The sequence below is a fragment of the Homo sapiens genome, chromosome 11 (genome assembly GCF_000001405.40).
Source record: "Homo sapiens chromosome 11, GRCh38.p14 Primary Assembly".
Lineage (NCBI taxonomy): Eukaryota > Metazoa > Chordata > Mammalia > Primates > Hominidae > Homo > Homo sapiens.
Genome location: NC_000011.10, coordinates 126,471,898 through 126,494,185, shown reverse-complemented (window position 1 = coordinate 126,494,185; position 22,288 = coordinate 126,471,898). Strand labels below are relative to the sequence as shown.

Sequence of the window (22,288 nt, the reverse complement as noted above, 5' to 3'; positions counted from 1 at the left end):
GAGAGAATTGGCATTTTGACCATTTCTCTTGACCAAGTGACCATCTTAAACAATTCTTAATTAACTGCAGCTCCCTAATCCTGTCTTTACTTAAAATTGTGATATTTTCCTCATCGTGGATATTTTTACATTCATTCTGATTTGTTTAATTTGCATTAAGATATTATTTATTTCCATTACTGGGGTTTTGAGTACACCCTTAAAGTTTGTGCCCGAGACAAGAGCCTCACTCACCTCCCCACTAATTCCAGCCTTGAGTCAGAGAGGTGGTGCTGGACGGCCTGCACCCAGCCTGAACCAGGAAAGGATGGTTCCGGGACCCAGAACCAGCCTTGAAGGAAGGGAGAAGTAGGAATGAAGCAGCTCTGGGCCAGCGACTGCCCTGTCACCATGTGTTTGCCCAGGCGGGGCCAGCTGGGGGCAGAGTAGAAGATGCAGGCTGCTGTGGGTGAGGGGGGCTGTAGGGAAACCTCTCTGGACTTGAAGTTCAGGTTCAGCTCCAATTCTCTCTTTTTTTTTTTTTTTTTTTTTGAGACAGAGTCTTGCTCTGTCGCCCAGGCTGGAGTGCGGTGGCGCGATCTCAGCTCACTGCAAGCTCCGCCTCCTGGGTTCACGCCATTCTCCTGCCTCAGCCTCCCAAGTAGCTGGGACTACAGGCACCCACCACCACACCCGGCTAGTTTTTTGTATTTTTAGTAGAGGTGGGGTTTCACCGTGTTAGCCAGGGTGGTCTCGATCTCCTGACCTCGTGATCCATCCGCCTCAGCCTCCCAAAGTGCTAGGATTACAGGCGTGAGCCACTGTGCCCGGCTAATTTTTTGTATCTTTAGTAGAGATGGGGTTTCACCGTGTTAGCCAGGATGGTCTCAATCTCCTGGCCTCGTGATCCACCCGTCTCGGCCTCCCAAAGTGCTAGGATTACAGGCATGAGCCACCGCGCCCAGCCCAGCTCCAATTCTCATTGCATGATGCCTGAGAGGCATTGGGCTCAATGCCTGTGGTCCCCACTGAGCCCTTTCCTCCTGAGTCCAGGAGGGCTGCTGCCTGCCCTGAGAGGCCATGAGATAGAGGCAGGTTGCTACTCTGCCTACCTCACTGCCTACCTCACTGTCTTTGTGACGCTCCACGTCAATCCCTGCAGGGAAATTGCTGTGCAACAAGCAGTGCCAATTCCTGCCCCCTGTCAGTTAGCCGCAGCACCGAGGCTGTTCTACGGCCTTTTGGGTCACTCAGCCCACGGCCAGGAAGTTCTGCGGCATGTCTAACTTAATTCCTCCACCCTCATCCCCTGGTCTGTCTTTTCTGGAGACCAACCTTGCCATCTGCCTGGAGGTCTCTATCTAGTCCTGCCCCCTCCCTCTCCAGAGCATCCAAGAGGAGGAAAGAGCTGGGTCTCGGGGCAGGTAAGAAGCCAGTCCTCCCTGCACGGTCCAGCTCAGAGCCCCCTCAGCATCTTGATATTTCACCATTAACAGTCACTGAGGCATGAACTGCTTGGAAGAAAAGGCCCTTTCAGAGTCAATTTATCAAAGTTTGATAGGAAGTCATAAAAATGGCCTGGTGGCTGTTCCCCTCCAACAGCTGAGGTGACGCTTGCTGTGTGGCGGTGGCAATTGGCAGCCTCATCCCTCCTCCTCCTCCTTCCCACTCCAGCCCCATGCTCCCCTAGCCCCTCGGCCCCTACAGATAGAAACACCTCTCAGAACTGGACGGACAGGGGCTAACTGGGAGCAGGGAAGTAACTTCAGCAAAACTAATGAGGAAGTACTTGAGTGGACAGGGGCTGAGAGGGGCTTTGCAGAGCCACCAGGTCCATCCCCCTGCCTTAGGGTCATGTCACCTTGTCACATCCACCTCATCCCTCATCGGGGGTAGGGGAACAGGCTTGGGAAAAAGAGGCCTGACCTCCCTTCCCCAGCTGTGTCTCCAACAACAGTTCTTCCAGATGTCTAACCTCACTCCCTCACGCTGCAGCCTGAGCCCATCTTCCCCTTTCAGTGAAGAGGAGACTGTCTATAGATCATCCTCCCAGTTCCTCGGTGGCCCTCTGCAACTTATCCTTTTGTCCATTTTATAAGCCCGGAGGAAACTGAGGTAAGCAAGGATGGGGCCCTTTGGCTCACTGAAGGGAAGTGAGACAATAAAAGTCCAGATTCTGAAATCCCTCTATCAATACTCCAAATCTCCCAGGCGTGGTGGCTCACACCTGTAATCCTAGCACTTTGGGAAGCTGATGCGGGAGGATCACTTGAGGTCTGGAGTTCGAGACCAGCCTGGCCAACATGGTGAAACCCCATCTCTACTAAAAATACAAAAATTAGCCAGGCATGGTGGTGCGCGCCTGTAGTCCCAGCTACTCAGGCAGCTGAGGCAGGAGAATCGCTTGAACCTGGGAGGTGGAGGTTGCAGTGAGCCGAGATCATGCCACTGAACTCCAGCTTGGGTGACAGAGCAAGACTCCGTATAAATATAAAAAAAAAGAAAAAAGAAAAAAAGAAAAACATCCAAATCTGTGTGTGGGGAGCACAAAGAAACGGTAATCTTGGCTGCTTTGGGCATGTTGCTCAACTTCTCTGCACCATGCTTGAACTCCTGGGTCTTCTCTCTGGGGACAGACATGGGCAGGTGTTCCTGATATGGCCTCCTTACCTGCCCCAGACCTCGACTCGGGGGACAGACAACACTGGAGTCCAACAGTCTGGCCCAGATGGGAGCAGAGAACCAGGATGCAGGCTTTAGCCAGAGTCACATGGCCTTGAATTAGTTCTCAGCCAGCCCTGCAGGAAGAGAGGGCGCTTTCTTTCCCCCTGAGAGCAAGTGTCCCCACCCATCACACAATAAAGCACCCGCTCAGAGCCAGCACGCGCCCGCCCTCCTTGGGCTCACATTACATTCGGACACCTGAGCAGAGTTTCAGGCTCACAGGCTTCTGGCCTTCACTCAGCCTTCCTGACCCTCAGGTGGTTTCACCGCCATGCCCACTTTCAGATGCAGACGCTGACGCCCGGGGAGGTGCAACTCGCCAGAGTCCACGCAGGTAGAAAGTGGTGGCCTGGAGACTCAGGGCTTGTCTTTGGGATTCCGGTTTCAGGATTATCTGAAGCCCTCCCTTCTGTTCACATAGGACCCCTTTCCACTACGGGATGGACCCAAAATCCAGACAGAGCCCTGCCCCATTCTCCAAAGAGACAACAGGCTCTCCTCCACCCTCCAAACGCCCCCTCCTCGTGCAGGTGGGCTGTGGATCCTCAGGCATTTGTGGACCCCCTGCACCCTTAAGAGCAAATGAGCATCCCTGCCTGACCTTGCACTCCAGAAGGAAGCAGTGGCGTCTTCCTATTTGACTCCAAATGCTACTGCCGGCTCTGCTCGGCCCTTGGAGTCCCAGACTCGCAAGAGATGAAGAAGGCAGACCCATTCTTTGGGAGACGAGGAGGGAGGAGAGACAAGAAAAGGAATGAGCATTCACTGAGCCCTGTTCTGGGGACGTCACAAATGCCATCCCATGGAACTTCTCCTAACCTTCACAGAATTATTATCCCTCTTATTTTATGACGAAGACACAGGCTCAAATAACTAATTAACGTATCCAAGGCCATGCAGCCTGGAACCGGGAGTCCAGGAGTCGCTCCCAGGTCTCACCACAAACACAGCTCTGCATCCCTGGCCCAGTGGCTTGTTCACTGAGGTTGTATCTCAGCCCCCAGGATTTCTGAGCACCCGTGGAACACAGGCCTACATGGTCTTTTCTGAGCACCCGTGGAACACAGGCCTACATGGTCTATTTCCAATAACCTGGCTCACGGACAGGGCCAGGCTGAAGAATACTTCATGGGGAGAAAGCTCTGCTCACCTCTCCCTAGCGGCTGTGTCCAGTGAATGCAAATTAATGCTAATGGGAGTCTAAAATAAACATACACAGAAAGTAAAGCTGCCTTGCCTCCCCCGCCCCCGCCACACACACACACACACACACACACACACAATGCATTCCAAAGCCAAATGCAAATAATATTCTCAATTATACACCAGATTTGGATTATGTATGCCTCTGGCCACAAACACGAATGCCCATCATGGGAGCTAACTGTGACTTTAAGGCACATCCAAAACATTTCACTTCAAAGCAACACTGGACACCTCACCCCGTTCACTCCTCGAAGCAGCTCATGGGCTGCTTCCAAGCAACACGTCTCATTTTCCCCAACGTATGCAGCACTAACACGCCCAGATTCCTGCACAGTGCCAGGGATGGAGATCTGAGCTGAGACCCACGTATTTTAACCCGGACTGATCCCAGCGCACCCACTGCAACTCGACACCATCCTGTTTTTTGATAGAGGATCCGCCATGAACAACACACTTTCCATGGCAAGTGAGTTGCTCATCAAAGCTGAAAGGGAAGCCTCAGAGAGAGCCAGCAAAAGAACAGAGGTGATTAAGGATCCAAGGGCTGCTAGGCCTAGCTGATGGGCCCCTGAGAAAGGGGTGGTGGAAGGTGGAGAGTGGGGAATGCAGAGGGGAAGGGGCACGTCCAAGGTCTCAGGAAAGCCAGGGGACACCAGCTGTCCTGGGTCCAAACTTATGGTGATTCACACATCTGCATCCAGCAATGCCCTTATGGACTACAGATCTCAGCATCTCCCAAAATTGACCCAGGAATCCAAGATGGAGTAACAATAGGGCCATCAGGAAGCTTTTGGAACATAGTTGACACTCCATGCTTATCAATGTGTCCTAGATCTGCGCCTCCCAAAGTATCCCCTCTGGAAGCTTTGTTTTCCCCACCTAACTCCCACCTGATGCAGGCGTCTCTTCTTACCCTTCCATCATTGATGGGGTGCTCATCTGTTGAGCACCTGCTCCGTGCAGGCTGAGCTGGGGCAGGAGAGAGAGACAAAGAGGAACATGACAGGGCTGCTTCCCTTAGGAAGCTCCCATCGAGCCAGGCACCCGGGTCCAGCCAGCAGTGATTCCCATGCAGCCGGCTCTCCACCGCAAACGCAGCGCATCCATCTACAGCTTCCGTCCTGCTCAGCCCCATGCTGAGGTCCCAGGCTGAGCCCTGGGATGCACCCCAGGATGAGACTGACTGCTGCGCTCCAGATGCCTAAGCGCAGTCTAGTGGAGGTCAGAGGGCACATTTGAGCAAACACTGAACATCGTGTAGGTGTCCACAAGTCAGGAAAGGAAAGGAAGCGCAGTCTCGGAGGAGAGAGCCACAGATCCAGGGTCCGAGGCCCGTGGCTATGTGGCTGTGGCCTGCGGCAAGGATCCCGTCTTCCTGGCTGGAGACGGGCACGGGGTAAGGCTGCAAAGGTGGCCAGGCCTGGGTGCTGTGGGGCTTTGGACACCATAAGCAGAGGGACAACTTGATTAGATCGTCATTTTGGGGGGATCCCCTGTGGGGAACAGGTAGGAGCAGGGAGAGGCCAGAGGAGAGCAGTCACCTAGCAGGCTTTCCCTGTGTGGCTCATGGGTGGTGGGAGGGTGTGGGCTCCAGCTCACGGAGCCTCCATCTGCAGCTCCCTGGGCCACAGGCCAGGTCACTGGAAGCCGCGGCTCCTTCCATGTTGCTTCTCTTCCACTGCACAAATGCATTTGGTCTGAGCTTCCTTGCCACTCTGCCTTAACCAGGGGAGCAGCTCATCTTCACACAAGAGAAGGCAGTGGGTCTTCAGCAGCAGCCTTTGTCTTCATGCTGACCAGCAGGCTGCCTCCACGACTGCGGACCTACTACATCTTCTCCTTTAATCCTGCATTACTCGAGGCACATATTAGCTCCACTTTACAGGTGAGGAAACTGAGGCTCAGGAAGGTTGATAAACTTGTTCAGGGTCACCCTGTGGGATCATTCCCAGCTCTGTCTGAGAGCAAAGGCTGTGCCCTTTCTTCACCTGCCTGACATCACCCACCAAGGGCTGGAGATGCAGGGGCCTGGGTGGCCCCAAAGCCATCCCCACCAACACCAGCAAACTTAATTGTAGGGATAATCAGAGCCAGATGAGGAGTCCCTCCCTGCCCCGGTGAATAGGTCTCAGATGAACATAGGAGGCCCACAGTCCCCTCCTTACCCAGTAACCAAGCTCTTCTTATTCTGAATAAGGGGCTTATTCTGATCGTAAGCACTCTAGTGCCAAAACCAGCCCCATCCCACCTCAACAGTGATGGAGCGAAAGAAGACACCCTGGGGGAAGAGGCCATTCCCTCCCTCCACCTCCGCCTTCTGTGAGCGGCACCCCGTAGTGGAAGCTGCGGTGCTACCAAGTTTCTCTTTACCCCTTTCAGGACAGGACAGAAGGACTCATGCTGGAGTGCGGGGCGGCCAACTCCCTGCTGAGTTCCACTCTGGAGTTGTCTGTGGCTAAAGACAGGAAGCTCACTTCCAGTGACTGTCCCCACAGGGTAAAAAGGCCAGGCCTCCCTCCCCAGAATGGGGCAAATGTGAAAAATGAGGAACAGAGGAGATTTCAAAAAATAACTATAAGGCCAGACTGTAGATGAGAATTAAAACACTTTCATCTAATGAGTTCTAAAAATATTGCCCTTTTTCAAATGTAGAAGCTTGTACTTTTTGAGAAAAAACAAAAAAAGAAGAAGGCTCAGGTCGGAAAAGGATTTTGACTTTTTCCTCTTAGGATTCTGGCAAACAGTGGATCTGGTAAATTTGCATAAAGTTGAAAGGTATATTTTAGTGATTTTCTGGGATTCCCTGAAATGAGTGTTTGTAGCAAGAGGCCTAGAGAAAGTGTTTTGCTTGTTTCCTTCCTTGGAACACTGCCATTTGGTTTTATGGTGCTCCATCCCAAAGGACTGTGTGTGTCTCCCCACATCCATCTTCTTCCTGAGCAGGTGACTTGCACCCCACGCCCCGCCCTGTGTCTTTGCCTCTTTGCCTGTCTTTTTAATTTTTGCCCTTCTGTCTCATGGTCACCTCTCTATTCCCTCCTCCTGCCTGCCCTGCTGGCCTGTAACCAACCAAGATATGGAACAAATGCATGCTTTTATCCTGCAAAACACAGTATTCCTAATCTGTCATCTCAAAAGAAAGCTACTGGAATGTCTTGTGCTTATTTTTTAAACCCCTTAATGTAATGACCATCTTCCTGCGCCCCTCCATTTCTGCTAAGACTTCTGAGGCTCCAGGGTATCGGTAGGCAGGATTTCTACCTGGCCTCATTTTCGTCCTTACTGAAACTATGAGGCTCGTTGAGGAGGTGGATTTACCGGATGGGGAGCCCATAGCAAAACCAACTATATCAGTTCTGCTTCTATTTATGGGACCAGCGGGGACACTCCAAGTCCCTGCCTGGCCCTTTGCTGGGTCAGGATGGCTGCCTTGATGCTATTAAAGCTACCGAAGTGAACCAATGCAGATCCTCCTGCTAGCACAGCCTATGGTACCGCAGTTAGGACTGAGTGGTTGGGGCAGCAGGATCTGAGCCAGAGTCCTTGCCAGTTGCGTGACTTGCCCCAAATGTTTTGGCCAGCCTATGCCTCAGTTTACCCACCTATGAAATAAGGCTACTGCAAGGGCCCACCATACCATGAAGCATGGATTATACAAGTCCACGGCAGCCACCATGATGGGCTTTTCCCACCAACCCAGCTGTGTTGAGCAAAAGAGACCCCAAATCAGGTTAAGGTCGAAACCAGCTGGAGAGCTTTGTGAGCGGCTGCAAGGGGGCATGTGCCGGTTATTCCTGCAAACACACCTAAGAAGCGCTCTCACCCATCCTGCAGCCATCAGCATAGGAGCTGGGCTGGAGAAAGGAGAAAGTCTCTCGCTCCGCAGGACTGGGAGGGTGAGTGTAAGCCACCCAGCACCACACACTGGCCTTCCTGCCCCAGCCCTACTCACCCCTTCCTCTCTCCAGTTTGATGCACTCCCCCACCCCACTGTCCCTTCTCTGCTGGCCTCTCCCAAGCCCTCTCACCCTTGCTGTGCAGACGGCGGCCACGTAGCACCCTCTGTCATCTGGAGCCGGCACAGGCACACTGGTCTGCTTGAGTGCAAATCACTGCAGCTCCCTTCTCTACCCACCTCCCTTCCTCCACTCTGCATACAGCCTGAGACTTACATCCCTACTCATTATTAATGAAACGTCTGTCTCCTCACAAGTAGCTCTGCCCTGAGATGCTCAGACCCTCTTTCAGGGTTTAACCAAATATAAACAGGACATTCACCCTTCCTAATTTAAGGAGCGAACCAAGCCACTGCTGACTTTGACCCTGACAGCACCTGGCTCCCTTTCCCTGGCCCACTGGACTAGCCCTCCCTCCCTTGGGGTCTCCTGCCTAAAGGCAGCAGGGCTGCCCATCAGACCTGTACAGCTGTGGGATCTTTGGGTCTGTGACCTCCTTGTCATCGCTCTAGTGGTTTAAAGGTGCTTTGAGGCAAGGTACTGACCATTCCATCTCAGGAGTCCAGGGCTGGGCATGGAACAAGGTAATAGCAGAACAAGAGGTGGAAACAAGCCCATTTCACATGCAATATGCTACTCTGCCCCCATGTGGAGTTACTTATTAAATAAACAACAATAATACTAAGAGCTAAAATTTAGTGGGTTCTTACTACAGTGCCAAGCTCTGGGACAAGACACTGCATAACTCTTACATGAACTCATTTAAACAGCACACCAGCCCTGTACAACAGCTACTATAATATCTATGACATTAACATCATCCAGCACAGAGAATTTGCACATGGTCACGTGGCCAGTGAATGACGGAGCCAGAAGCCCAGCCAGGCACTCTGACTTCAGGGCCTCCCTTCTTATCCCCTAAACAATATGAGCTCCAGCTGAGAAGTGGGCTTCCCAGTGTCCCAAACCTTTGCAGGGGACCTCTGAAGTCAGCTAGTTCAGGGTTCCCCCCACCCCCAGGTTAGGAGCAGAACTGAAACAGCCTCCAGCACACCTTCCTCTGAGCTACATGCCATCATCCTAAACCTGCGTCTTGCTCCTTGTTCCTCTTTTCTCTCTGTCCCCAACCTCCTTGGAGACACGTCTGTGCGATTGTGCTGCCAAATATATCGGATGCCACATCCTTTAACAATCCCACTTGTGGCCGGGCGCAGTGGCTCACAGCTGTAATCCCAGCACTTTGGAGGCTAAGGTGGGCGGATCACCTGAGGTCAGGCGTTTGAGACCAGCCTGGCCAACATGACGAAACCCCGTCTCCACCAAAAGTACCAAAAAATATCAGCCAGGCGTGGTGGCAGGTGCCTGTAATCCCAGCTATTTAAAAGGCTGAGGCAGGAGAATCGCTTGAACCTGGGAGGCGGAGGCTGCAGTGAGCCTACATTGTGCCATTGCACTCCAGCCTGGGTGACAAGAGCGAGACTCCGTCTCAGAAAAAAAAAAAAAAAAATCCCATTTGCATCTTGCCCCACATCTTCTTAATATAGACCTAAGTGGAGGCGGGGAGGGTCTGAAGAGGGGGAAAGCACACCTACATTAATTAAATCACATATATGTAATTAACACATCTACAGGATTGCCAGATAAAATACAGGATTCCCTGTTAAATGTGAATTTCAGATAAACATACTTACACTACCATTTTTTAATTTATCTGAAATTTACATTTAACAGGGCCTACTGTTCTTTGATTTGTTAAGTCTGGAAACCCTACCCATATCCCAGCTCTGCTGCTTACTAGCTATGTGATGTTGGGCAAGTAACTTGACTACTTTGTGGCTGTTTCCTCACCTCCAAAATATGCATCGTCATTGTATCTACCTTATATAGAGCTGTGAGGATTAAAGGATATTTGTAAAGTACACAGAAGAGTTCTTGCTGTGTGGTAAGCCCTATATCAATGTTAGCTATTATTCATATTATTGGTGCTGTTTTTTTATGACTGCATCCAAGGTAACATACTAGGCAATGGGAGACAGGCAAAGAGGCGCCAGGACTCCTACCCTGCAACTGTAGGGAACCTGAAACAGGTCCACAAGTCAATGCAATAGAGATGTGGTGAGGACCAGTGTAAGAGGTGCTCAGGTGGGGAGGGGGCTTCTAATTCAGTGGGATCAGGCAAGGCACCAGGCAACAAGTATTTATTAAGTGCTCACTATGCCAGGCACTGTACTAAGTACTAGAGAGAGAATTTGGCAAGGACCAGCCCTCAAGGAGCTCACAGCCTCAGGGGAACAACAGGTGGTAATGGCGCCAGGCACCACATGTACCTGCTGAGGCGGGCACATGGTCTTATGGCAGTGCAGAGGCTGCAGGTGGGAGAGTCAGGGGTTGAGATTGAGAGAAGACTTTGTGGAGGAGGTGACAATAGCCTGAGTCTTAAAGAATAACCAAGAGTTAACAAGGCATGATAGGCCTTTGAGCTGATTGAAAAGAGGCTGGGATTCCAGCCAGTTAAGACTCAGGCAAGGAGATTCCCAGCAAAGGGAACTTCACAAGCCAAAGCGTGTATTTGTAAAAGGGCAGGCTATCCTCACAGAAGAGTTAATGGTCACACAGGAGAAAGCTGCAGAGATGAGACCTCACTGGAGAGAACCGGGGAAGGCCCCCATGATGAGGAATTGATTTTTGTGCTGGAGCAGTGGGAACCATTGAACATTGTGAGCAGCAGACCGAGCTTCCAGAACAGTCACCTGGCCATAGTGGAGGGAGAATGGATCGGAGGGAAGTGGAGAGACAGTTGATGCCGTGGGCCCAGTTCTGAATCAAACAGCAGGGGACTACTGGGTTACATCAGTTAGCTTTTGCTGCTGCAGGGGAGAAAAAGTAATATATTTTCCTCATCCATTACAAGGTTTGCAGCTGACACCCGTGTAACAAACGATAGATTAAGAAGAGAAAAGTGCAACAGATGTATTTAACCAAAGTTTTATGTGAGCTTTCAGAAATGAAGGCCCAAATGCCATGGGAAAATTGTGTATTTGTAGGCTTATGTTCAACAAAGAATGGGCAGTTGTGCAGAAATGTGATTGGACAAAAAAGGGGGTATGACCTCATGGTAACAAACCAGAAGAACTTAGCAAGGCCTTGCCTGCATTCCTCTTTGAGTTCCTGTACACCGTTTCTTTCCTCTGAGTATAGGGCAGGATCCCTCTGGAATGAGGATCTCATGACCTAGTTTCAGGGGAGATGGGTCAAAGAATTTTTTACAGCTAGCTCTCGCCCAGGAAGGCAGGGGATTGGAGAGTAAACTTTTTGCTTCTGCTGTTTTCTCAACTTCTAAGATGCGATATCTTGGAGTATTGTGTTCTGAATGCAGATACTGCATAATAAACCACTCCAAAACTGTGAGTCAGCAATCTGGGCTGAGCTCAGCTGAGATGGCTCATCTCTCTGCTCCACATGGGGCTCACATGTGCCTTTGCAGCCCATAAGCAGTGTGTGCCTCAGTTGGCACAGAATGTGGGGGGGCCCAGAGGGAGGGGATGCCAAGCCAGGCAGGGCAGCGTGGAATCACCCATGGGAGCAGCAGGGTCTTCACCCAGCTCCCAGCAGGGCAAAGCAGGGAAAAGGACATAGACCTCTGCTTTACCAAGGGGGCAATCTGGGACTTCTAAGTCCCAGCTCCCCTGCCCGTCTATCGCCTTTCAAAGGAATGAGCCCAGTCTGCTTAGAGAACCAATAACATGCCACATCATCCATCAGACCCTTTACAAAGCATTTTCTCATGTTACATCTTCCTTGACCCTGGCAACTATACAGTGAATCTGGTTTTGTTATTTTAATTCATATTTTACAAATAAGGACACTGAGGCACAGAGAAGCTAAGCAGTTTTCCCATGGCCACAAGCCAGTAAACATAGCACCCAGGATTCAAACCCAAGCTGCCCGACCTTCAAGTTAGCAAAGCAAAAGGAAAGGGGCAGGCCCGGCACGGTGGTTCATGCCTGTAATCCCAGCATTTTGGGAGACCAAGGCAGGTGGATCACCTGAGGTCAGGAGTTCGAGACCAGCCTAGCCAACATGGTGAAACTCCATCTCTACTAAAAATACAAAAATTAGCCAGGCATGATGGTGGGCACTTGTAATCCCAGCTACTCAGGAGGCTGAGGCAGGAGAATCACTTGAACCCAGGAGGCAGAGGTTGCAGTGAGCCGAGATCATGCCATTGCACTCCAGCCTGGGCAACAAGAGTGAAACTCTGTCTCAAAAAAGATAAATAAATAAAAAATGGAAAGGGGCAATTGGGGAAAAGCGATTTACTCCAACAAATGCAGGTGGCTCTTATCCACAAGGAGGAATTGAGGTAAGAAGTGATGAAAAGCAAGGCCGAAGAGTCAGCAGTGGCCAAGAAGTTCAGACTATTTAGATGGCAATGAGGGACTTTCAGAGGATTTGAAACAGAGGAATGCTAGACATTCAGCACATGGTGGGTGAATTACTGGTTGACTGGATAGGTGAATATTCAGACTTCTGTAACAGTCACTCTGGAAAAGCACAGAGGACTAGGAGATGGAGGGGAGAAGCACTATTGTAATCCAAGCACAAAAGGATGATGGCTGATCCAGGAAGCCTGTGGGAATGGAAAGAGACAAATCTGAGCGATACTTCAGAGGGTTAACCAGGCTAGTTGGCAAGACAGGGTGACTGAGAGTGGAATCCAGAAAGACCCCCAGATTTCTGACTTGGTCCCCAAACAGTGGGGCCATTCTCCAAAATACAGAATATGGGGATGGATGGGTGTCTGGGAGAGGCGGTGGGTGTGGTGTCACACCTGCTGAGCTTCGAAGGCCCGTGGACAGTTGGGTCATGACTCTGGAGCTCAAGAGAGAGGTCTGGCCTGAGATGCTTCTTTGGAATTCGTCAGCTTAAAGATGTGAGTTGAGTTCACAGAAAAGTGAAGGTTTTCCATTAGATAGTGTGTCAAATGAGATATGGCCAGCAAGAGCTAACTAGGGAAGACCAGCATTTAAGGGGTGGGAAGAAAACAAAAAGTAACAACCAGAGAGGAAGGAGAAAAGCCAGGAGGGAATCCCGGAGGCCAATTTAGGATGTATCTATTCCCTGCCCAGTGTTACTTTCCTTCTAGTACTTATCAACACCTAACCTTGTATTATGTATGTATTTGTGTATTCATTTATTGTCTGTCTCTCCCACTAGAAGGTAAACTCCACTAGGGCAGAAGCTTCTTGTCCCTAGTGTTTAGAAAGGGCCTGGCGTATAGTAGGTGCTCAATACGAATTTCTCCAAACATTGTTCGGCTACCACTGGGAAGCTGACTCTTAAAACCAGGTCAGCTCCCTCTTGTCTCTACATCCTGCAGTTCTCCATTGTGGCCATTAGGTGGCGCATCTGTATACGTGAGGAAACCGGAAGCTGGGATTACACGCGGCCCAGAACCAGAGAACCGGGCAAAACCACAAAAGGCAGCAAAGAGCTGGGCGGACTACAAACAACATTCGTCCGTTCCCTTAGCAGACATCGCCAAAGCACCAACTGCGAGCCAGGCTCATGCTTCCTGGGGCCCTCTGAAATTCAGACTGCGGGGAGGGAAGGGAGGAGAGTACCTGCCAGGTCTGAATGCCCCCTGGGACAGGCAGAGAGCCCGCTTCGCAGAGCTCTAGGGCCAGGACAAAGGCAGGGGTTAGTGGAAGGGCTGCTGCAGCTGCAGGGATAGTCTGGGAGCTGCTCTAACTCCAACAGAACATGTTGTAGGGTCAAAATCTCGAGTCTAAATTCCAACTTCACCACTTATGGCTGTGTGGTCTTTGCCAAGTAATTTGCCCTCTCTGAGTCTCAGCTTCTTAACCTATAAAATGAAGACCCTAATAGTCCCTGCCTCAAAAGATATTGAGAATAAAATGAGAGGACCTTGGCTCAGCACTTTTCACACAGCCACAAACCTAAATATTATTCCTAAAAATTAGACATAATAACCTACATTTGTATAGCCTTTTACAATGTTCTCTGTGTATCTTTCATATTGTAAGGTAATCCTCATGATAACCCTGCAAGATAGGTATTTTTATTATCTCACTTCCCAGATAAGAGGATTAAGGTTGTCGGATTATATAACTTGTCTACAATCATATGGCTCATAAAGTGATCGACTCAAGTCAAGTTCAGCTCAGCAAATGCATATGCCACCCTGTGCCCTGTGCAGCAGGCAGGCACTCTGCTGGGAGATGGGGATCCGGATGGAGATCATGGTTCAGGGAAGAGACACACACAGAGAGATTTCCATAGGATGTGGTAGCTAGTGAGTCAGGGGATGCCCAGGATGCTGTGGGATCATAGACAGAAGCCCTATACACTTGGCCCAACTGGCAGATTCTAGAAAGGCCGCTCAGAGAGGGTGCCCTCTGAACTAAGTCTCAAAGGGTGTGTAAGAGTGACCCAGGAGAAGACCAGTGGTCCAGGAGAACGCCAGCATTCCAAGCTAAAGAAACGGCATACACAAAGGAAGCTGTTCTGAAACAAGATCGTGTAACTCCAAAGCTAGTAAGCAGGGAGCAGTCTGCCCCTTTCTCTGGCCGGCCCCGGGGGAGCGAAGGGAGCAGGCAGCCTGTGAAGGGATCAAGGGTCCCCACACGTGCTCTTTGTCCAGTGAGCCTTCCCTTCATAGCACTTGTCAGTTTGTCATGATTTCTACCTCGGAACCCTTAGAGCAGCGCTCCTCCAGCTTGAAAATGTATGTGAATTGTCTGGGGTCTTTTCAAAGGCAGATTTTGACTTAGGAGGTCTGAGGTGGAGCACAAGAGTCTGCTTTTCTAACAAGCTCCCAGGAGGTGCCAAGGCTGCACACATGTCCGTCTTGGGCACTGGCCTGGAGTGGCAAGGGCCTCCCCATCAGCTCTAAGATGGCAGGCCGTGTATGGCTTCACTCAGCTATCATAGCCTCAGCTTGTGACATGGAGGAGGCTGGTGAGAGAAAGGTTGGGAGGGAGGGAGGCAGGAGGGCAGGACACATGGCAGGCTGACTGCAGGGCTGCAGCGGGGAACCTGGGGATGGAGAAGATGCTGAAGGTGTGGGAGATGCACCCCGAGGCTTCGGCATCCTCCCTCCACTGTAGTCAGTGCTGGAACTCCTAGCACTGACTCTCCCAGAGCCCCTGGGTCTGCGGCAGAACAAAATCAAAGAACCCACAAACGTCCTTCTCCCCACTCAGCCAAGTGTCTCTGATCTGTCACCATGCTCGGCCTGCCGCCCTCTCCCATCCTATGTTCCAGACAAATCAGAGGACAGCAGCCACGGAGAAACAGGCTGAGAATCAGCTCCCAGCACCAAGCCCCCCTCAGCCAGGCTTCCCTCTCTCGAGGAGAGACAGGGAGCACCAACCCTGATGCCACAGCAGCGCAGAGTTCCTACAGCGCTGTCCCAGCTGGCCTCAGAAGGGCTCCTGCTTTGCCCTCCTCCCTCCCACTACTCACGCAGCCCGTTCCCAACTGTACCCAATGCACACACACATGCATGCACACACACAAACACACATATACACACACATATACACACACACACTTACATACACATGTATACACACACCCATACACATGTATACACACATGTACATCTACATGCACATACATACACATACATATATACATATACACATACATACACACATACACACGCATACACACATACACACATATACATGCATATACATATACACATACACACGTGTACACACATATATACACATACACACATATACACACATGTACACACATATATACACACACACATACACACACACAAGATTTAAAACGCTGACCTCAGAAGCCAAAGCCCATGATAACCGTCCCCCCGGCCCCATCCCCACTCCCCTTCTGAGATTCTTTTATTTAACAAATAATATATTCAACAAATATTTCTTTAGCGCCTACTGTGTGATACAGCAATATCACAATGACCAAGATAGATAAGGTCTTTGTTGTCCTTTCTAGAACGGTGACAGATAATAAATGAACCCAGTGATCCAGAAAGTGCAGGGGTGGGTAGTGGAGAGTCACTGAAGGGCTCTTGAAGCTGCACCTTCATTGACGGGAAGAGCCAGCAGAGTGAGGAACAGGAAAGAGCGTTACAGACAGAGAGGAGCAGGGCAAGCCCGGCCCCGGAAGGAGCTGGGTTTGCTGAGCAGCAGAGACGCAGTGGGGCCAGGGTCTGCTGTGTAAGGAGTGGTTGGAACAGACCGAGGCCCCAGGGGCAGCGAGGGCCGTAAGTGCTGGTGCTTGCAGGCAACACCTACTCTCCTTCAGCGGGAAGCCCCTGGAGGGTTTGGTGTTGGTGATAGACCCACTCTGCCAGCATTGTGGGGAACTCGCTGCTCATTGAGTCAAATGAGAACCAGTCTTGCTCTCCAAAGGGCTGGGTGTCTATGAGGTTCTCCACCATGCAGTATGGGGGCAGGAGGGTGGTGCTGCTGGTCCCCCACCCCTCCAGCTGCCACCGATCAGCCATGCTCAGAGACCAACCATCCCAGGCTGATGGAGCATCGAGGAATTCCTGGAAGCCCAGCCAGGTCTCAGTTGGGTGACCAAGTGGACACTGGAGGAAATTCCCTCAGTGCTGTCCTTGTCCTGGCACCAAGAGAGTTTTTCCAGCCTGCTCAGACGAGGCTGGCCAACCTGGCAAACTGTCTCTAAAAAAAGGGGAGTATAGAGGTTAGAGAGAACCTTAGTGCGTGAAATAGATGAAAGCTTTACCTCTCCAGTTACAGCCAGGATGTGCGTCCCAAGCCCACCCTCACCCTTCTTTGCTCTCGTCACTGGTAACTTTGGGTCAGCCTCTTGTGCTCTCTGGCCTCAATTTCCCTCTCCCCATGCCACCTGTCCACCCGAGACCCCATTGTCTTTGGCAGCAGAACTTGGGGAAAGCTTTTGGGGGCTCCCTCCCACACACAGGGAAAGGGACGGGTACCCCCACCGCCCACCCAAACAAGGCAAAGTCTGCAGAGCTGGGCAGGTAGGGGCAGAGCAGGGAGGGAGACTGAAGCTGCCTGCTCCAGTCCTGGCCAATGGGAGAGTAAACTGTAAAGAGCTCAGCATCCCGCGATGATGTGTTTCTTTCATAATCAATGCCCCAGGAGCCAGCTGGGTGCAGGAGTGTCGCTCAGCCACCCCCGGCTAAGGCCGCGCTGTGGCCTCTTAGGCTGGCTTCCAGCTCTGGGGACCCACTCTGCCTGGGATCCGCTCAGTCCTCCCCAGGCTTCAGTGCCCCAACAGTTAATGCCATTTTTTTCCTGACTGACAACAAGCACAACACCAAAACAGTCAACTATTTTTATCTCCGGATTAATCACGAAAAGGCTAACGCCTCCACCTTCCTTGTGATTAAAAATTAGAAGCCCAAACTCTATAGTGGTTGAGGATAATAACCAATCCTGCGAGGGGGTGATGAATAATACATCTCCAAGCGGGGACCACTCTGAAACTTCCTCCCCTCGCCACTGCCTGGCCCAGCCTGGCCGAGTCTGAATGGGGAGGTAATGAGGAGCCCCCTTCCACGCCAGACACAGCTGCCAAGAGCGACTGCTGATTTCTCTTCAGCCTGCTGGCCCCCAAACATCCTCCATCCTCACCAACCCCCACCCCCCCCCAGCCCCCACCCCCATCTGGTGTGCAGTGAAGCGAAGACCAATCAATAATGCCTGGCTACATGAATACCCAGCATGATAACCACTTATTTGGGAAGATGTAATCAGGCCCCATTCTGAGGGTGGATGTATGTGCGTGGCTGTGCGTGTGCCTGAGCACTCCCACAACACGCCCCACTCCCTCCTCCCTCGTCCTCGCTGCCTCTAATCCGATATTCCAGTAACACAACACTCCAGCCACAAGGAGGAAGGGCCCGTCCTCTGGGTCTTGGATTCTCGGGAAGGCCTTGGTGGCTGCACTGTGCTCAGAGCAAGCAGAGGCTCCTGCCCCTCAGCCCAGAGTCCAGAGCCCAGAAAGCTGGTCCTGCCATGGGACCCCCTGGGGAGCTCCCCAAAGTCCTGATGCCTGGGGTCCCCTCCAGAGACTGGGACTTGGCTGCTCAGGGTGTGGCCCGCAGTGAGGTTTTAAAACCTCTGCAGAGGAGCATGCAGTCAAGGCTTCAAACCCCTGTCCAAGGCCCAGTAAATGTCCGTGCTGGAGAGCGGTCAGTTCCCAGATCCTCCGAGCTCTCACGTTTGCACCTGAAGCCACCCTGAGAGAAGGGGCTTCCTGCTCCACCCTCTGCTCTCAGGCACTTTCCACAGTCACTGGGAAGGCTGAGGCCCCAGGTATCCAGGCTGTCCCCAGGGCTCCACGTGGCTCTTTTTCCAGGCCCTCAGCTAGCTCATGGAGCCCGAGCTCCTCCATCCTGGTCGGGGAGGCTGCCTTGAAGAAAGAAGGGTGAAGGCTGGCCACCTCTGAGCCCTGCTCTTCCTGCTGCAAGTCCCCCACTCACCGCGTGGAGATGCAATTCCCCTCCTCCACAAGTGGTTGCACCCACCCCCACTTGGTGGAAAGCCCTGAGCCGCCTCCGTTTTGCCCTGTGGCCAGGCCCACCCCAAGGAGGCCCATGGGCACTAATGAAAGGGTGTGGGGTGGGCGGCTGGGGGGTCGTCTTCTCCATCCATCCCATTCATGCCTGCTTCCTCCCGGCTCAAGAGCCCAGGGCCAGGCAGGGTTGCCTGAGGCAGACTCTGTTCCTGAGCCAGGATCTCGGTGGAGTCCGGGGCTCGCTGCCCCTGGGGTCAGTGATGGCTTCTCGGAAGCCCTGGGAGGTTGCTTGTTCCTCAGGAAATGGCACTGCTGTGCTGTTAGTGTGGGAGCAGGCCTCCAAGGCCGGGCAGGGAGGGCAAGGCAGCTGTTCTGAAGGTTTGCTTCTTGGCTTCTTACCGGCCCCCACTGGGGCTTCCTGTCCCTCCTGGAGCTTTCACAGAAGCCGGAGTGGACTAGGAGAAGGGCTGACGGGGCGATCCCCTGAGAAGGGGAGGGAAGTTCCCATGCAGGCTGAGGCTGGAAGGCTGAGCCAGTGGAGTCAGGACGGGCCCGGAGCTGTGACTGTTCAGCTCTGAACTTCTCCAGCCCAGAGCCCCGAGCACAGAGCCTGCATAGAAGGGCGGGCTTCTCTGGCCACCAGGCAGAGAGGACCCTTTGTGCTAGGTTCCCACGCCCCCGTTATCCAACTACCCCTTCTGTGTTTGCTGTGTACACAGACAGCTCACGTCTTGATGTGTCCAGAGGCCCTGGGCCTCTCTCAGCCTCCAGAGCTGGTGGGCCCAGCTCCTCCTGGGGTAAGGGAAACAGGGATTCCTCAGAGGACAGTCGCCTCACCTCCTGTCCCTTCTGTGGCTTGTCCAGGGAGCAGCAGAGGCCTGAGACTCTCAACGTGTCCCCAAGCACAAGCATGGGAAAGGCCCTGTGTCCTAGGCAAGGTACTTCAGATTTCTGGGCCTCTCCTCCAAACCATGATCATCCACCATCCTTCAGCCCATGGTCCTCATCGGAATCAAAGGGTGACCCCAGTGGGGCCAGCAAATGTCAGTGGAGTTTCCCCAGCACAGGGCTCTGTGCTGGGCACTGCGGAGACCGTGCTCCGACGCGGATGGCCCTCTTCCTGGCACTCAGGATCCCTTGATGGGAGCCACCCGTCTCTGACCCTACTACAAAATGCAGTGGAAGGCTGGGACAGGAGAGAATCAGGCTGCCTCTGGGGATGAAGGGGCTGGAGCCGCTCTGGAGGAGTGAGGAGCTCAGGAGATGCCAGCGCTTACACAGCCCTCCGAAGCGCTGGCTCCACTGTGAAGGGCTGCCCTGTACCCTGCTCCCTGCCAGGGAAGGGGCCGGCCTGGTGCTCCCAGGTTCCCTGGGCCTGGCCTCCAGCCCTGGCTCTGCCACCATGTGACCTTGAGCCAGTCACTAATCTTGCTGGAACTCGGCTTCCGGATCTGTGTCATTGGGGTGGTAATGTTGACCTCACCAGACTGTTGTGAGGACTAACTCAGACAGCAGGTGTGACAGTGCTTCATTTAAAGAAAAAAGAAAAGCCAGGTGCCGTGGCTCACGCCTGTAATCCCAGCACTTTGGGAGCCTGAGGCGGGTGGATTACCTGAGGTCAGGAGTTCGAGACCAGCCTGGCCAACATGGTGAAACCCCATCTCTACTAAAAATACAAAAATTAACCAGGTGTTGGCCGGGCATGGTGGCTCAGGCCTGTAATCCTAGCACTTTGGGAGGCAAGGCAAGCAGATCACCTGAGGTCAGGAGTTCAAGACCAGCCTGGCCAACATGTTGAAACCCCAACTCTACTTAAAATACAAAAAAAAAAAAAAATTAGCCGGGCATGGTACCACGTGCTTGTAGTCCCAGCTACTTGGGAGGCTAAGGCAGGAGAATCACTTGAACCTGGGAGGCAGAGGTTGCAGTGAGCCGAGATCATGCTACTGCACTCCAGCCTGGGTGACAGAGACTTCATCTCGAAAAAAGGAAAAAGAAGTTAAAAAGCAGCCACAGACATCGCCTGGGCCACAGAGCTCTGCTTCTGGGTCTGGGAGTGCAGGCTGAGGCTGCTGGCCCTGTCCCCTCCTGGCAGGTCCTGAGCAGGGATGCGATGACTGGCAGGAATATCCTCCACTGTAAGCACGCAGTGCACATGTCAGGGATCACTGTGGGTGCTGCTCTCATCATTACGATACAAGCGGACGATGCGTTTTATTAATGTGTGATAATTATTGTTTGTTGCCATCTCCACAAAATCCTCCCAGCCTGCCTGCCGTCCTGCCCGAGGTGGGAGCCTCGGCCTGACCTCACTGCTTCTCTCCCCGCAGTGCCGCCTGATGACCCCGTCATCCTGGGGGGCCCTGTGATCAGCCTGCGTGCGGGGGACCCTCTCAACCTCACCTGCCACGCAGACAATGCCAAGCCTGCAGCCTCCATCATCTGGTTGCGAAAGGGAGAGGTCATCAATGGGGCCACCTACTCCAAGGTGAGGCCTGGAGGGGAGGGGGTGGGTGTGGACGGGCTTCAAGGGGAGTGGGTGGGGAGGGGGCTAGGTGGACAGGGAGTTGATGGGGAGGAGGCTAGGTAAGGAGGGGGCTAAAGGAGCGGGGGCTGGATTAGGAGGGGACTAGGAGGGGTGGAGGTTAAGTAGAGAGGGGGTTAGGCGGGGGGCTAGATGGGGGCCTAAGAGGAGAGGGGCTGGGGGGTTAGGTAGAGAAGAGGATGGTGGGGGCTGGGGAGAGGGGCTGGGGGGGTTAGGTAGAGGGGAGGATAGTGGGGGGCTGGTTGGCAGGGGCTGGGGGTTAGGTAGAGAGGAGGATGGTGGGGGGCTGCTGGGGAGGGGCTGGGCTTAGGTAGAGGGGGGATAATGGGGGCTGGATGGGGAGGGAACCAGCTGCCCTGTCTCTCTGCAGCTGTCCCTCTCTCCTGCCCCTTTTGGTTTCTCTCACTCTTTGTCTCCTTGTATCTTTTTTTGCTCTCTCACTCTGTGTCACTTTTTCTCATTCATGCTGTGGTTCTCCTACTCATTTGTATGTGTGTCCATCCTTTTATCTGACTTGTGCTCTCTCTCTCTCTCTCTCTCTCTCTCTCCTCTATGTCCTAGGGTAACTGCTGGGGAAGACCCTAACAATAGGCCATGGTCAGACGAGGAGACTCAGGGACAGTAGTGGCCAGGTTCTAGGGGTGCAGATAAAATGCAGGATGCAATCACGGTCTGAATGTTTGTGGCTCCCAACATTTCTATGTCAAGATCCTAACCCCCAAGTATGAGGAGGTGGGGCCTTTAGGAGATGATCAGGTCATGGGGGTGGAGCTTCATAAATGGGATCAGTGCCCTTACAAAAAAGAGGCCTGAGGGAGACCCCTTGTCCCTTCCACATTGTGAGGACACAGTGAGAAGAGGGCATCTATGAACCAGGTGTCTGTCCCTCAACAGACAACAAATCTGCGTTGATCTTGGACTTCCCGGCCTCCAGAACAGTGAGAAATAAATGTCTGTGGTTTATAAGCCGCCCAGTTTATATATCTTGTTATAGCAGCCCAGCTGGGCTAAGACAGATGCCCAGTTAAATTTGAGTTTCAGAAAAATAATAACTTTTTAATGTAAGTATCTTCCAAATACTGCATTGGACATACTCACAAGCCATACTTATACTAAAGAAGACAGTCATTATATATCTGAAATTCACATTTAACTGAGTATCCTGTATTTTATTTGCTAAATCTGGCCACTTTCCAGGGCTGCCAGGTGAAGCCGTTTAGGCTCCACCATCTCCAAGGTGCCTGGCTCAGGGGCCAGGGAGGGCTGAAATCCAGCCCATGATCCCTTACCCAACAGCCCTTGCCCTGCTGTGTCTACCAACAGGGGTTCTGGTCTCTAATTCACACACGATACC

General features: G+C 52.4%; 1 protein-coding gene across 17 annotated transcripts in view, besides 2 other annotated features; it reads left to right on the top strand.

Moving 5' to 3' along the window:
* The window catches only part of KIRREL3 (kirre like nephrin family adhesion molecule 3), a 580,037-nt gene that overhangs the window by 509,209 nt on the left and 48,540 nt on the right, over positions 1 to 22,288 (top strand). For all 17 annotated transcript variants that reach the window (NM_001441257.1, NM_001441258.1, NM_001441262.1 and 14 more), the window contains one exon: positions 20,720 to 20,877. In NM_001441257.1, the coding sequence (NP_001428186.1) occupies positions 20,720 to 20,877 (158 nt within the window). The remainder of the gene's footprint in view (positions 1 to 20,719; positions 20,878 to 22,288) is intronic.
* Positions 7,406 to 7,906: an enhancer, noted in NCBI's record as "H3K4me1 hESC enhancer chr11:126356175-126356675 (GRCh37/hg19 assembly coordinates)". NCBI's record gives its function as "activates a minimal SCP1, AML or CMV promoter by ChIP-STARR-seq in primed H9 embryonic stem cells {active_cell/tissue: H9 hESC(primed)}" and the evidence as "EXISTENCE:reporter gene assay evidence [ECO:0000049][PMID:30033119]".
* Positions 14,787 to 15,288: an enhancer, noted in NCBI's record as "H3K4me1 hESC enhancer chr11:126348793-126349294 (GRCh37/hg19 assembly coordinates)". NCBI's record gives its function as "activates a minimal SCP1, AML or CMV promoter by ChIP-STARR-seq in primed H9 embryonic stem cells {active_cell/tissue: H9 hESC(primed)}" and the evidence as "EXISTENCE:reporter gene assay evidence [ECO:0000049][PMID:30033119]".